This window comes from Homo sapiens, chromosome 16 (genome assembly GCF_000001405.40).
Source record: "Homo sapiens chromosome 16, GRCh38.p14 Primary Assembly".
NCBI classification, from domain to species: Eukaryota; Metazoa; Chordata; class Mammalia; order Primates; family Hominidae; genus Homo; species Homo sapiens.
Window position 1 is genome coordinate 835,853 of NC_000016.10, and position 12,662 is coordinate 848,514.

The following is a 12,662-nucleotide window of genomic DNA, read 5'->3' on the forward strand; positions in this document are numbered from 1 at the left end:
AAATTAAGGAAAGAGGGTGAACAGGGAACACTCGAAGATGAGAGATGCCTTTTCTCTTTGAGCATGTGTGAGAACATGCTAGGGTGGTCTGGAAGGTCTGTAATGGGGGTGGTGCTGGGTATTGCCCTATTGGGGGTGCAGCCTCCGCTTCACAGGGCTCTGCACCAACAGGCCCAGGTCCTCGTGGGGCCTTTGCTTGGGCAGCTATGGGCACAGTAGCCACATGTAGGGGGGCCTCCCCAAATGGAGCCTGCAGGGTTTGCAGTGGTGAGTCCTCAACCGCTAACATAAAATGCACATATTTTAGGTTATAACTGGATGAGTTTTAACAAATGTGACACCAGTAACCCACAGCTCGGTCAAGACAGAACACTCCTTGGTCAAGACAGAACAACACCCTGAACATTCCTCATGCCTCTCCCCAGGTAACCCCCCCCACAGAGGGAACCGTTGTCCTCATGTGTGTTTCAGGATAGGTTAGTTTCTCCAATTCTGAAACTTGGTGTAAACTTTCACTCCGTCAGTGCCTTTGGCGGCATCCATGTTGCTTTCTTTTTTCTTGCCTTATTACTCTGGCTAGCAAGTCTAGTGTGATATGGAATAGAAACAGTGGGAGTGGCTGTCCTTGTCCTGTGCTTGATCTTACAGTGAAGCTTTCGGTTTTTCCCCATTAAATAGTATGAGGGCTATGGATTCTGTAGATGCCTTTTATTAGGCTGAAGAAGTTTCCTTCTCTTCTTAATTTGCTGAGTTTCTATTATGAATAGTGTTGAATTTTGTCTAATGTTTTTTCCTGTATCTATCAGAGATACAATCATATGGTTTTTCTTAGTGTTTTAATTGGTTGATTTGCTTTTTGTTTTTGTTTTTTCTTTTTTTGATGGAGTTTCACAATCGTTGCCCAGGCTGGAGTACAGTGGCATGATCTTCGCTTACTGCAGCCTCCACCTCCTGTGTTCAAGTGATTCTCCTGCCTCAGCCTCCTGAGTAGCTGGGATTACAGGTGCTTGCCACCATGACCGGCTCATTTTTTGTATTTTTAGTAGAGATGGGGTTTCACCATGTTGGCCAGGCTGGTCACAAACTCCTCACCTCAAGTGATCCACCTGCCTTGGCCTCCCAAAGTGCTGGGATTACAGATGTGAGCCACCGTGCCTGGCTGATTGGTTTTCAGATTGAACCAACCTTGCATTCCTCATCATGGAATATAATCCACAGTCCAGTTGAGCATGGTGTCTAATTCTTTTTACATATTTCTGATATTACCAATTTGCTAATATCTTGCTGAGGTTTTGTTTTCTGTCTATATTCATGAGGTATATTGGTCTGCGGTTTGGCTTTGTTTTCTTTCTTTCTTTTTTTTTTTGAGACAAGAGTCTTGCTCTGTCGCCCAGGCCAGAGTGCAGTGGTGAGATCTCAGCTCACTGCAATGTCCATCTCCTGGGTTCAAGCAATTCTCCTGCCTCAGCCTCCCGGGTAGCTGGGAATATAGGCGTCTGCCAACATGCCTGGCTAATTTTTTCTATTTTTAGTAGAGACGGGGTTTCACCATGTTAGCCAGGGTGGTCTCGATCTCCTGACCTCATGATCCACCTGCCTCAGCCTCCCAAAGTGCTGGGATTACAGGTGTGAGCCACTGTGCTTGGACTCTTTTTTTTTTTTTTTTTTTTTTTTTTTTTGAGACAGTTTCACTCTGTCACTCATGCTGGGAGTGTAGTGGTGTGATCTTGGCTCACTGCAACCTCTGCCTCCTGGGTTCAAATGATTCTTGTGCCTCAGCCTCCCGAGTAGCTGGGATTACAGGTGCACACCACCACACCTGGCTCATTTTTTGTTTTTAGCAGAGACAAGGTTTTGCCATGTTGGCCAGGCTGGTCTCGAACTCCTGGCCTCAAGTGATCTACCCACCTTGGCCTCCCAAAGTGCTGGGATTACAGGTGTGAACCACTGTGTCCGGCCTGTGGTTTTTTCTTTTCTTTTCTTTTCTTTTCTTTTTTTTTTTTTTTGAGATGGAGTCTCGCTCTGTCACCCAGGTTGGAGTGCAGTGGTGTGATCTCGGTTCACTGCAACCTCCGCCTCCCGGTTTGAGTGACTCTCCTGACTCAGCCTCTCAGGTAGCTGGGACTACAGGTGTCCACCACCACGCCTAGCTAATTTTTTGTATTTTTAGTAGAGACGGGGTTTCACTGTGTTAGCTAGGATGGTGTCAATCTCCTGACCTCATGATCCGCCTGCCTCGGCCTCCCAAAGTGCTGGGATTATAGACGTGAGCCACTGCACCCCTCTGGTTTTCTTTTCTTGTACTGTCTTTTTCTGGTTTTAGTATTACGGTAATGCTGGCCTGATGAAACACACTGGGAAGTGTTTCCTCCTCTTCTGTTTTTTGGAAGAGGTTGTGTAGAATTGGTGTTATTTCTTTTATTAAGGTTTGGTGGATTCAGTCAAACCATCTTTGCTTGGACGTTTACTTTTATTTATTTTTCTTTTCTTTTTTTTTTTTTTTGAGACAGAGTTTCGCTCTTGTTGCCTAGGCTGGAGTGCAATGGCATGATCTGGGCTCACCACAACCTCCACCTCCCAGGTTCAAGTGATTCTCCTGCCTCAGCCTCCCGAGTAGCTGGAATTACAGGCATACGCCACCATGCCCGGCTAATTTTTGTATTTTTAGTAGAGATGGGGTTCTCCATGTTGGTCAGGCTGGTCTTGAACTCCCAACCTCAGGTAATCCACCTGCCTTGGCCTCCCACAGTGCTGGGATTACAGGCATGAGCCACCGCGTCCAGCCGGATGCTTCCTTTTCATATCTTTACAGATTTAATTTCTTTAATAGCTGAAGGGCTGTTCGTTATCAGTTACATTTTGGGTGAGTTTTTGTTGTGGTTTTTAAGGAATTGGTCCATTTCTTCTAAGTTATAAAATTTACATTCCTAGAGGGGAGTTGTTTGTGCTTTTGACTTTGTGTTTTGAGCAGCCCTGAGACCAAAGATGAGTCTTGACTGAGCGTCTGAGGGGCAGCTGGGCCCCGAGGCTGATGGGAAGAGCCAGACGAGGCCTGGGAAGATGGATCCGTCCCAGTGTGGCCGCGCGGCTGTCAGGAGGGCACGGGGACTGGGCGCGGCCGTCAGGAAGGTTCGGGGACTGGGCTGCTGTAGCAAACTCGGGGGCTTAAAGCAACAGAAACCCACCCCCACTGTCCTGGAGGCCAGAAGTCTGAGATCAAGGCTTCGGCAGGGCTGTGTTCCCACTGGAGACTCCAGGGGAGGGTCCTCCTGCCCTTTCCAGCTCCCAGGGGCTTCAGGTGTTCCTCGGCTTGTGGCCACGTTGCTCGTCTCTGCCTCTGACTTCACTTGACCACGTCCTCTGTCTGTGTTTTCTCCTCGCCTGTCTCTTAGAAGGACCCCTCCCACTGGATTTAGGGCCCACCGTACTCCAGGACGATCTCGTCTCAAAGCCCTCAACCTACTGATGTCTGTAGAGACCCTTTTCCAAATACTGTCACGTCCACAGGTTCTGGGGCGAGGACGTGGGTGTCTCTTTTTGGGGTTCCGCATTCTCCTACTATTACGGTCTCTAGGCCTCCGGGCCAGCCCCTCTGCTGCCTGGGTCTGTGGGTGGCTCCGGCCCCACTCTGGCCCTGCCCAGTTATGGGTGTGCACGGCCCGACCAGAGAAGGGGTACCCCCTGCCCCCAGTGTGGACCCACAGACCCTGTAGAGGGGGGAGAAGGCAGCTCTCCAGCCCACGGGGGCTTTGCTCTTCTCAGCTCGGGGGTCGTGGGATGGGGAGGTCAGCAGAGCCGGCAAGTTATTCACAAGGTGCTTGGTGTCTGGTTCCCACCCTGTGGGCCTGAGGACGAAGCAGGGCATGTTCACCGTCACCATCAGGTCATTCCCTTACTGCCACCGAGTGGCCGGGGCTGCAACTTGGCGGTGGGGTCCCCATTGCGGTACCGAGAGAGGGCTGAGGGTGCTGGTCACGCACTGCCCTGTGCTGAGTGGACGTGGCCAGGGCATGTGGACCAGCTGGTTTTCGGCGCTGCCTGCAGGGCGATGGACTCAGCACAGTCCCCACTGTGAACTGGGCACCCGGGGTTGAGGGGATGCCTGGGAGACCCTGGGCACTCAGGTCAGGGGGACGTCCAGGAAACGCTGCCAGCTGTGCTGCCCTGCAGAGTGGGAGGCTGGGTCCATGTGTGGGCACTTTGTTCTGAGCAGCCTGGATCAGAGGCCTGGGCTCACACTGTCTACACAGCTGTGCTGCCTGAGCCCTGACAGGTGACAGTGATGGGCCAGCTGTCCCTCCAGGGCCCCAGGGAAGGGCGTGGGGAGGCAACCCCGAGCTGTGGGTTTAACCCTCACCTGCCTGCACCCCTGCTCCCTGTGGAGGGGCAGCCTGGCCTCTCCCGTGTCCCCAGGTGGGGCGCGGTCTCCTTGCCCTCTCGTTGTTTCCCCCTCCCCCTGCCAACCTGCCCCCAGGGAAGATGAGTCTCATTGACATCCTGCTCCCAGGAGAGCCAGAGGCCCGGCCCCGAAAGGCAGATGCCTCAAGCCCAGGGACGTGGCGTCCTGGTGTGGTCGGGCTGAGGAGCCCTGGGGGCTGTGTGGCCCCCTCCTTGCTGCAGCTCTGCTTCTGGCTGAGATCACTGGGCTGGGCTGGGCTGGGGAGGGTCCACCCCGAGGAGGTGTGGAGCCCCTGTGAGGTGGCCACTGCCAGCCCTGGGATAGGAGAAGGGTGAGGACTCAAGGATGTGTGGATGGGTCCAATCGGCTGCCACCACCTGGAGGCCCCCAGGCTTTGCCGCTACCCCAGAGCCCTCAGGACAACAGAGGCCTCGAACGCGTCCTGCCAGCCAGGAGCCTGGTCCCCAGCACCTGGCTCCATGGCCCCCGGAAGGCAGGGGCTCCGTAGTTGTTTGTGGCATGAATACACGGGCCTCCCACTGTGGGGGCTTCTGGGGGGCCCTGCTGCAGCTCCGCATAGGGGGCTGGGGGCTGCCGTGGACAGCGTCCCCCTAAGGGGGTGGTGGACACTGGGCGTGGAGGGTCGCGGGGGGCAGGGCAGCCTGAGGATGGTCAGAGTGATGCCCTGGATGAGGTGTCCCCACCCCTGCCCTGGATGAGGTGACCCCACCCCCCCCAGAGGCCGGACCTTCCTCCGAAAGAGGCTTTGAGCTTCAGAAAGAGAGTTGCTCCCCAGGCATCCTGTGGCTGCTGGAAGCTCACGTTTCCCCTTGGGAAAGAAAAGCCCTGAGCCCCTTTCTCAGGTGGGCATTTGAGGTCTTGGGCCTGGTGGCTCTTGCAGAAGCCAGGCCCAGCAGCAGGGGCTGGAGACGAAAAGGCTCAGCCAGGCCGCTCCGTGCAGGGGCCGCTCCGTGCAGGGGCCGCTCTGTGCAGCGGCTGGTTCAGGGACGTGGCTGGGGTGTGGTCACCTCCGGGGTTAAGAGCAACCGCCGGGCAGAGGCTCAGCTCCACACGCCTCACTCCTATTTCCAAAATACCTTTCCATTCACACAATTGACAACACTGATGTTAGCAGGAAGTGTCGCACCCGCGGCTGTGTACTTATGTGTGCTGTCATCTGGTGCGTGCACGTGTTTCCACACAGGTGCTCTGTGTGTCCCCCTGGCCTGAGAGGGGTGTCACCGGTGCCTCTGTGTCCTGGTGCCCCTAGCCACGCTCCCTCCTCTTCCCTCCCAGGGAACATGGGGCTTCTGTGCCTGGGAAATAGCCACAAACCACGATGCCAGCTCCCGTCGCTTGGGGATCTTCTCGCAGGTTCCTGCATGGGGCTGCCCAGGCCCTACCTACCAGCCCCCGTTATCCCTCGAACTCTCAGACTCACTTGGACCAGGGATGGCAGGATGGGACCAGAGACCTGTCCACTCAGCACCTCAGGCAGGTGAAGGAAAAAAGAACCACTCCTGCTATTGCATTTCGGGAGACTGGTGCCCTCACGAGCGTGGGTGGCCTCGGGTGCCCCGACCTGCTGCCGCAGCCTCGAGCCCGGGCAGAGCCTTCCTCCCGGGAGGGGCCTGTGCTTTTCTCGGTGTCCGCCGCGTCTCGGCCTCCCCAGCGTCCCCATGAGTGTGTGAAGGGGGCGCCCACTGGCTTCTCTCGGGGTGTGGGGCTTGCAGAGGCCCAGCCCAACCTTCAGCTTTGGGGCCTGACCCTGGACTGCAGGTTCTCACCTGGGCCGTCGGTTTTGACTCTGGGCCACAGGACCTCACCCTGGGCTGGGGAACTCTGGGCTGTGGGTTCTGACCTGGGCTTCGGGACCTGACCCTGGGCCTCGGGTAGCGCTGCCGCAGGAGGCTGAGGGGGTGGTGGGGCGGTTGACTGAGGAGGGGCCTCCACGTGCTCCTCTCGGTTGGACCCGGGTCTGTGGGGCTCCTGGGCCTGCAGGCGCCGCCTCCTACTCCTGCTGGGGCCCCCGTCTCCTGGGCCTGCAGCAACCCAGGGCTGTGTTGTGTCTCCAGGCAACGGTGAGGTGTCCCCTCCCAGCTCTGCGGAAGTGAGTCTCGGTGTCTTGGAGATGTGTTCTCTGGAGGCTCCGGGTGACGATGCTTCCTGCCCCTTCTGGTTCCCGGCGGCTGGACGCCCCAGGGTGGGTGGATCACTCTGTCTCCGTGTTCACGCAGCCTTGTTCCCTTGCTGTGTATCATCGTCCCTGGCTTTACGAAGCCGTCACTGGGTCTGGGCCATCCTCAATCCAGGATGACCTGATCTCAAGGCCTTCCCCTTAATCACAACTGCAGAGACCCTAGTTCCAAATAGGTCCCGTTCTGAGATTCCGGGTGGCCGTGAATTTAGGGAGACAGCATTCAGCCCATTGTCCTGGGGTCAAGGCCGACCCTCAGACCCTCCTCGGGGGAGCTGACACCCAGTGAGGGGTCAGACAACAGGAAGGGCAGGACTGGCCACGCCTGCCCCAAAGGCACCGTGGACAGATGGGCGGGTGGCTGGGGAGGCCCCTGGCTGGGGTGACAGTGACCGAGTGGGGGATGCCCCTGGGCCGGGGGTGCGTTGGCTGGGGCACCCCCTGAGCTGTGTCCTGTGCACAGCTGTGGGCTGTGCCATCCACCTCCACCAGACAGGGCTGTGAAAGGGCAGGGCAGGCAGACGGGCTGGGGCTGCAGCCTGCAGCTGTGCGGCACACAATGGGGCCGGCCCTGGAGGGGACACGGGTCCTGATCTGGCTGATGATGCCGCGTATCTTTTGCATGGAGAAGAACTGTGAGTGTGGACATCGTGTGGGGAGACGAGGCCACCTGATGGAGAGCCTGGAGCCCGCCCTTTAAGGGAACAAGGCGCTTTTTTCACCCTTTTTTTCGTGTGTCTCAGACAGCTGGCTCCTTAAATATTAATCAGGGTCATTGAGATGCAAATGCGTGCCCACCACAGAAGGCCCCGCAGCTGCAGGGCTGGCACTGAACATCCTGGTGGCCCAGATGCAGCCCTGACCAGAGCCAGCGGCGAAGACCACCTTCCCTGAGGACAAACGGGCGCCGGCCCCTCGACAGGAGCAAGGGTGGCGTGGGCCTTGCTGGGTCTTGCTGGGTCTTGCTGGCCGTGGCTTTCCTGGCTTTCACTGCCCTTAAAACGAGGTGTCCTGGGGCCGGGCGTGGTGGCTCACGCCTGTAGTCCCAGCACTTTGGGAGGCCGAGGTGGGTGGATCATGAGGTCAGGAGATTGAGAGCATCCTGGCTAACACGGTGAAACCCCGTCTCTACTAAAAGTACAAAAAATTAGCTGGGTGTGGTGGCGGGCGCCTGTAGTCCCAGCTACCCCGGAAGCTGAGGCAGGAGAATGGCGTGAACCTGGGAGGTGGAGCTTGCAGTGAGCCGAGATCGCGCCACTGCACTCCAGCCTGGGCGACAGAGCGATACTCCGTCGCAAAAAAAAAAAACAAAAAACAAGGTTTCCTGGACAGGCACTCGCCAGGGCGCTCTCGAAGCCGTGGGGCTGGGGGAAGGCGCCGTGTGTCCGGCCTGTGGTGGGTTCAGAGGCTGAGTTTAGAAAAGTCCGGCCTGGGAAGCACATCACTGGGTGGACACGGTGACCTGGATGCAGGGGGGCGGCTGTGCTCGGGACACGGTGACCTGGATGCAGGGGGGCGGGGTGGCTGTGCTCAGGCTGCCCGGGGTCGACCATCAGCAGAAACAAAATAGGATGGAAGAGGCAGAGAGGCCAGGAGCCACAATGGCCCCGCCCGGAGCCGGGTCTCCTCCCGCTTCCTTAGCACACATGTTAGAGGACAAACCGCAGCTCAGCTCTTCATAATAAACACAGTGGAAGCTTCAGGGACTCAGAAGTGCAGCCCAGGCCGGGCGTAGTGGCTCACGCCTGTAATCCTACCACTTTGGGAGGCCGAGGCAGGTGGATTACTAGATCATGAGTTTGAGACCAGCCTGGCCAACATGGTGAAACCCCATCTCTACTAAAAATACAAAAATTAGCCGGGCGTGGTGGCGGGCGCCTGTATTCCCAGCTACTCTGGAGGCTGTGACAGGAGAATCACTTGAACCCGGGAGGCGGAGGCTGTGGTGAGCCCAGATGGCGCCACTGCACTCCAGCCTGGGTGACAGAGTGAGACTCCGTCTCAAAACAACAGCACAACACCCGGAACTGGAGGCTCTCACACGCCACAGTTAGAGAGATTTTCTGATCATAATAGTTTCCGCGTGGATTGGAACTCACGCAAAGCAGCACACACAGTGGACAGCGAGCTCCAACATGTCCACGGGTGAACATCAGCGTGGCCACCACCAGGTCCAGAGCACAGTAGACCCTGTGCCGCCAGTGTCCGTCGCCTTCCACACGTGGCCGCAGTTCTGTGCATGGGGCCGCCCGCCATCCTGCCGCCTCTGACCTGGGCTGTGGGCTCGTGACACGTGTCTGAGCTTTCCAGTCGTGGCCGTGACGCTCTGTGCGGAGGCTCCGTCCGCGTGCTGCCTCCGTCCCCTCTGCCCTGGACGGCCACTCACTACCTTTGTCTCTCACCCTGGGGGTTTCATGACCCCGGAGCCTCCACGTCCTGGTACAGAGCCTGCCTCTCCGGGACTGGGCTTCGGCCGAGCAGACACCGCCTAGCTGCTCTTTGACCAGCGTTCTCTGCTCTGCGTCTGGCTGGCATCGGCGGCTTGCTGAGTCCAGCCTGGCATCTCGCTGGCATCGGCGGCTCGCTGGGTCCAGCCTGGCGCTGACACGTTTCTGTGCTCATTTCATTTTACAAATCAACTCCCCAAGGTGAGGTGGGCTCGTGCCAGCAGGTGGGAGCCGGTCGTGCACGTCTGCCCAGCTCCGTGCTGAGTGAGGACGTGTTGGGGGCTTGAATCGGAGATGGGGGCGGGCACGGTGTTTAGATCACAGAAATTCAAAACCACATAAATCAGGGCTTTATCCAGAGAGCCGGGCATGATTTCCAAACACAAAATGCACCCATTTAAATGTAACCGACGGTTTCTGACAAGGGCACCCGGCACCACAGCTGAGATTCAGAACATTCCTCTCCCAGATCTCCCTGCGTTCCGGCCCCGGCAACATGGGCCTGCGTCTGTCACTGGAGTTGGGCCGCGGTCCTCCCTGCAGTTCCGCGAGTGGAGCTGCGCCCTGTGAGCTCTTTCGTCTGTGTTCTTTAGCTGAGCGTGGTGCCTTGGAGGGTCCGACGCTGTGCGTATCAACAGCCGGATGTGCCTGTTTCTGAGGACGATGGCTCCAAGATGACCCGGTTCACCCGTCCTCCTGCTGACGGACACCGGCACCACCCCGGGTCCTGGCTGCAGTAAATCAACCCGCTATAAACGCTGCTTACACGTCCTTGTGCTTTCATGTCTCTCGGGCAGATACCTAGGAGTGGAGTGGCTGCTTCCTGAGGAAGTTCACGCTTCATGTTTCCAGAACTGACACTTCTCCAGAGTGGCTGCCTCCTCCCGTCCTGGTGGGCGTATGAGGCTTCTCCTCCTCCATTTTCTGGAAGAGCTTGGATAGGGCAGTGTTATTTCTCTACCGAGTATTGCATGGAACTCGCCAGTGAACACATCTTGGCCTCAAGTTTTCTTTGTGGAAAATTTTAAATTACAAATTCAATTTCTTTTTTCTTTTTTTGAGATGGAGCCTCACTCTGTCACCGAGGCTAGAGTGCAATGGTGCGATCTCCGCTCACTGCAACCTCTGCTTCCCGGGTCCAAGTGATTCTCCTGCCACAGCCTCCCGAGTACCTGGGATTACAGGTGTGCACCATCATGGGGGCTAGTTTTTGTATTTTTGGTAGAGACGGGATTTCACCATGTTGGCCAGGCTGGTCTCAAACTCCTGTCCTCAGGTGATCCACCTGCCTGGGCCTCCTAAAATGCTGGGATGACAGGCGTGAGCCACTGCGCCCGGCCCAAATTCAGTTTCTTCAATTATTATGGGACTCTTGGGCTTTCTTTCTTCGTCGGCTGTAGGGAGAGGATTAGGGTTTGGGCTAGCGTTCGTTTTAGTAATCTGTGCCTTTCACGGAGTGTTTCTCATTTAATGTAGGGTGCTGAGTTGATTAGAATAAAGTTGTTCATAATATTACCTTATTATTCCTGTAGCATCTCTGTGGATTTGTGGTGATATCTTTTCTTCTTGATATTGGCTATTTGTATTTTCTCACCTTTTTGCTAGATCATTGCAGCTTGGGGTTCACTGACGTTGTTCTGTAATGGATCCCGGTTTCCTGTAAACCCACGTATGTCCCGTGTCTGTAATGCGTCCCGGTTTCCTGTAACCCGTGTGTGTCCCGTGTCTGTAATGCGTCCCGGTTTCCTGTAACCCGTGTGTGTCCCGTGTCTGTAATGGGTCCTGGTTTCCTGTAAACCCGTGTGTGTCCCGTGTCTGTAATGGGTCCCGGTTTCCTGTAACCCGTGTATGTCCCGTGTCTGTAATGGGTCCCGGTTTCCTGTAACCCGTGTGTGTCCCGTGTATGTAATGTGACCCGGTTTCCTGTAAACCCGTGTGTGTCCCGTGTCTGTAATGTGTCGCGGTTTCCTGTAACCCGTGTGTGTCCCGTGTCTGTAATGCGTCCCGGTTTCCTGTAACCCGTGTGTGTCCCGTGTCTGTAATGCGTCCCGGTTTCCTGTAACCCGTGTGTGTCCCGTGTCTGTAATGGGTCCCGGTTTCCTGTAACCCGTGTGTGTCCCGTGTCTGTAATGTGTCCCGGTTTCCTGTAACCCGTGTGTGTCCCGTGTCTGTAATGGGTCCCGGTTTCCTGTAACCCGTGTGTGTCCCGTGTCTGTAATGTGTCCCGGTTTCCTGTAACCCGTGTGTGTCCCGTGTCTGTAATGGGTCCTGGTTTCCTGTAAAGCTGTGTGTGTCCCGTGTCTGTAATGTGTCCCGGTTTCCTGTAAACCCGTGTGTGTCCCGTGTCTGTAATGTGTCGCGGTTTCCTGTAAACCCCTGTGTGTCCCATATCATCTGGACTAGGTACCTTCTCCCAGCGGCCCGGGGTGCTGACCTGGCTCAGTGCCTCTTCTTTCCTTTGCTGAGTGTTCTTTCCTCTTTTTTGTTGTTCAGATGAGAGTCTGTTGATGTTCCTCCAGCATGTCCACATGGCTGCGGGTGAAGGGCTTCACAGTAGCCCACCGTGGGCAGGTGTTTAAGGAACAACTTCCAGGTTAGGAAAAAGATGAGGCAGAGGAGATGGCCCCACCTGCCACCCAAGAGAAAAAGAGGCTCAGGGAGGGGAGGAAAGGATGTTGCGGCCCGCCATCTGTCTGCACACCAACCGTCAGAGCTGACGGAAGCTTTCGCCAACTTGCTTCCAGCAATGGGCCAACGACAATCAAGGCGGCTATGACGGCCAGTCCAGGGCTGGTTTGAAAGCTGTAACAGTTTGGACAGTGTGGTATGACCTGGGCAGGTATAGATCACACTGGGTCAGGTGTAAACCCTAGAACGGTGAGCCACCAACCCAGACTCAGCGGGTCAGCTGCGGCCCCTGGCCAGGCGGCCCAGGCAAAGTAAGGTGGCCGCAGCCCTGCAGGGAGGGTGGCACTGTCCGCAAACCCTCCCGGTGCCCCGGGTTCCCCAATGCGCTCAGACCTGGGGGTGGGCACGGAGGCCCCCCAGCCTTCCCCTGCCTAGTGCCTGGGGTGCTTCTTCCCAGCGCCTGGAGGTTTCCATCCCTCCCGCACACAGCGCTTGGAGCAAGATGGGAGGGAGGTGCCTGCTTGCTGCCTCCTGCTGGTGTGTGGGAGCCCAGGTGAACACTGGGTGGTGCGGAAAGCCACCAGCGTGATGTGGGAAGGCCATTTGCTAAGCGCCAGGTGGGCCCGGGTGTGGGCTGGGTGGGCAGCCTGGCTCGCGGCGTAAGGGGCAAGCTATCCAGGCAGCAGTGGGCTGAGAATTGCCGGCATCACCTGTCATTTGCTCGCGTGGTCCTCAGTGAATCAAAGTTTGCATGTCCGTGACTGCGGCCATCATCAGAGCTTGTGGGACCACTGGTGGCTCCGTACGGCACTTTCGGGTTAACCAGCATCCAGGTGCACTGAGCCTTGGTCTTAAGCGGCTCCAGCCCCATGCACGCCACAGAGAAGGAGTGAAGCGCGTTCCCTGCCCGGCATCCTGAGCCCCACTGGACCTTCTGGCAGGGTGAGGGTCTGGGCCCTGAGGCAGGGAGGCCCAGGGTCTCAGGACGCTT

At 56.9% G+C, this 12,662-nt stretch overlaps 1 annotated feature.

Moving 5' to 3' along the window:
• Positions 4,170-4,670: an enhancer, noted in NCBI's record as "H3K4me1 hESC enhancer chr16:890022-890522 (GRCh37/hg19 assembly coordinates)". NCBI's record gives its function as "activates a minimal SCP1, AML or CMV promoter by ChIP-STARR-seq in naive H9 embryonic stem cells {active_cell/tissue: H9 hESC(naive)}" and the evidence as "EXISTENCE:reporter gene assay evidence [ECO:0000049][PMID:30033119]".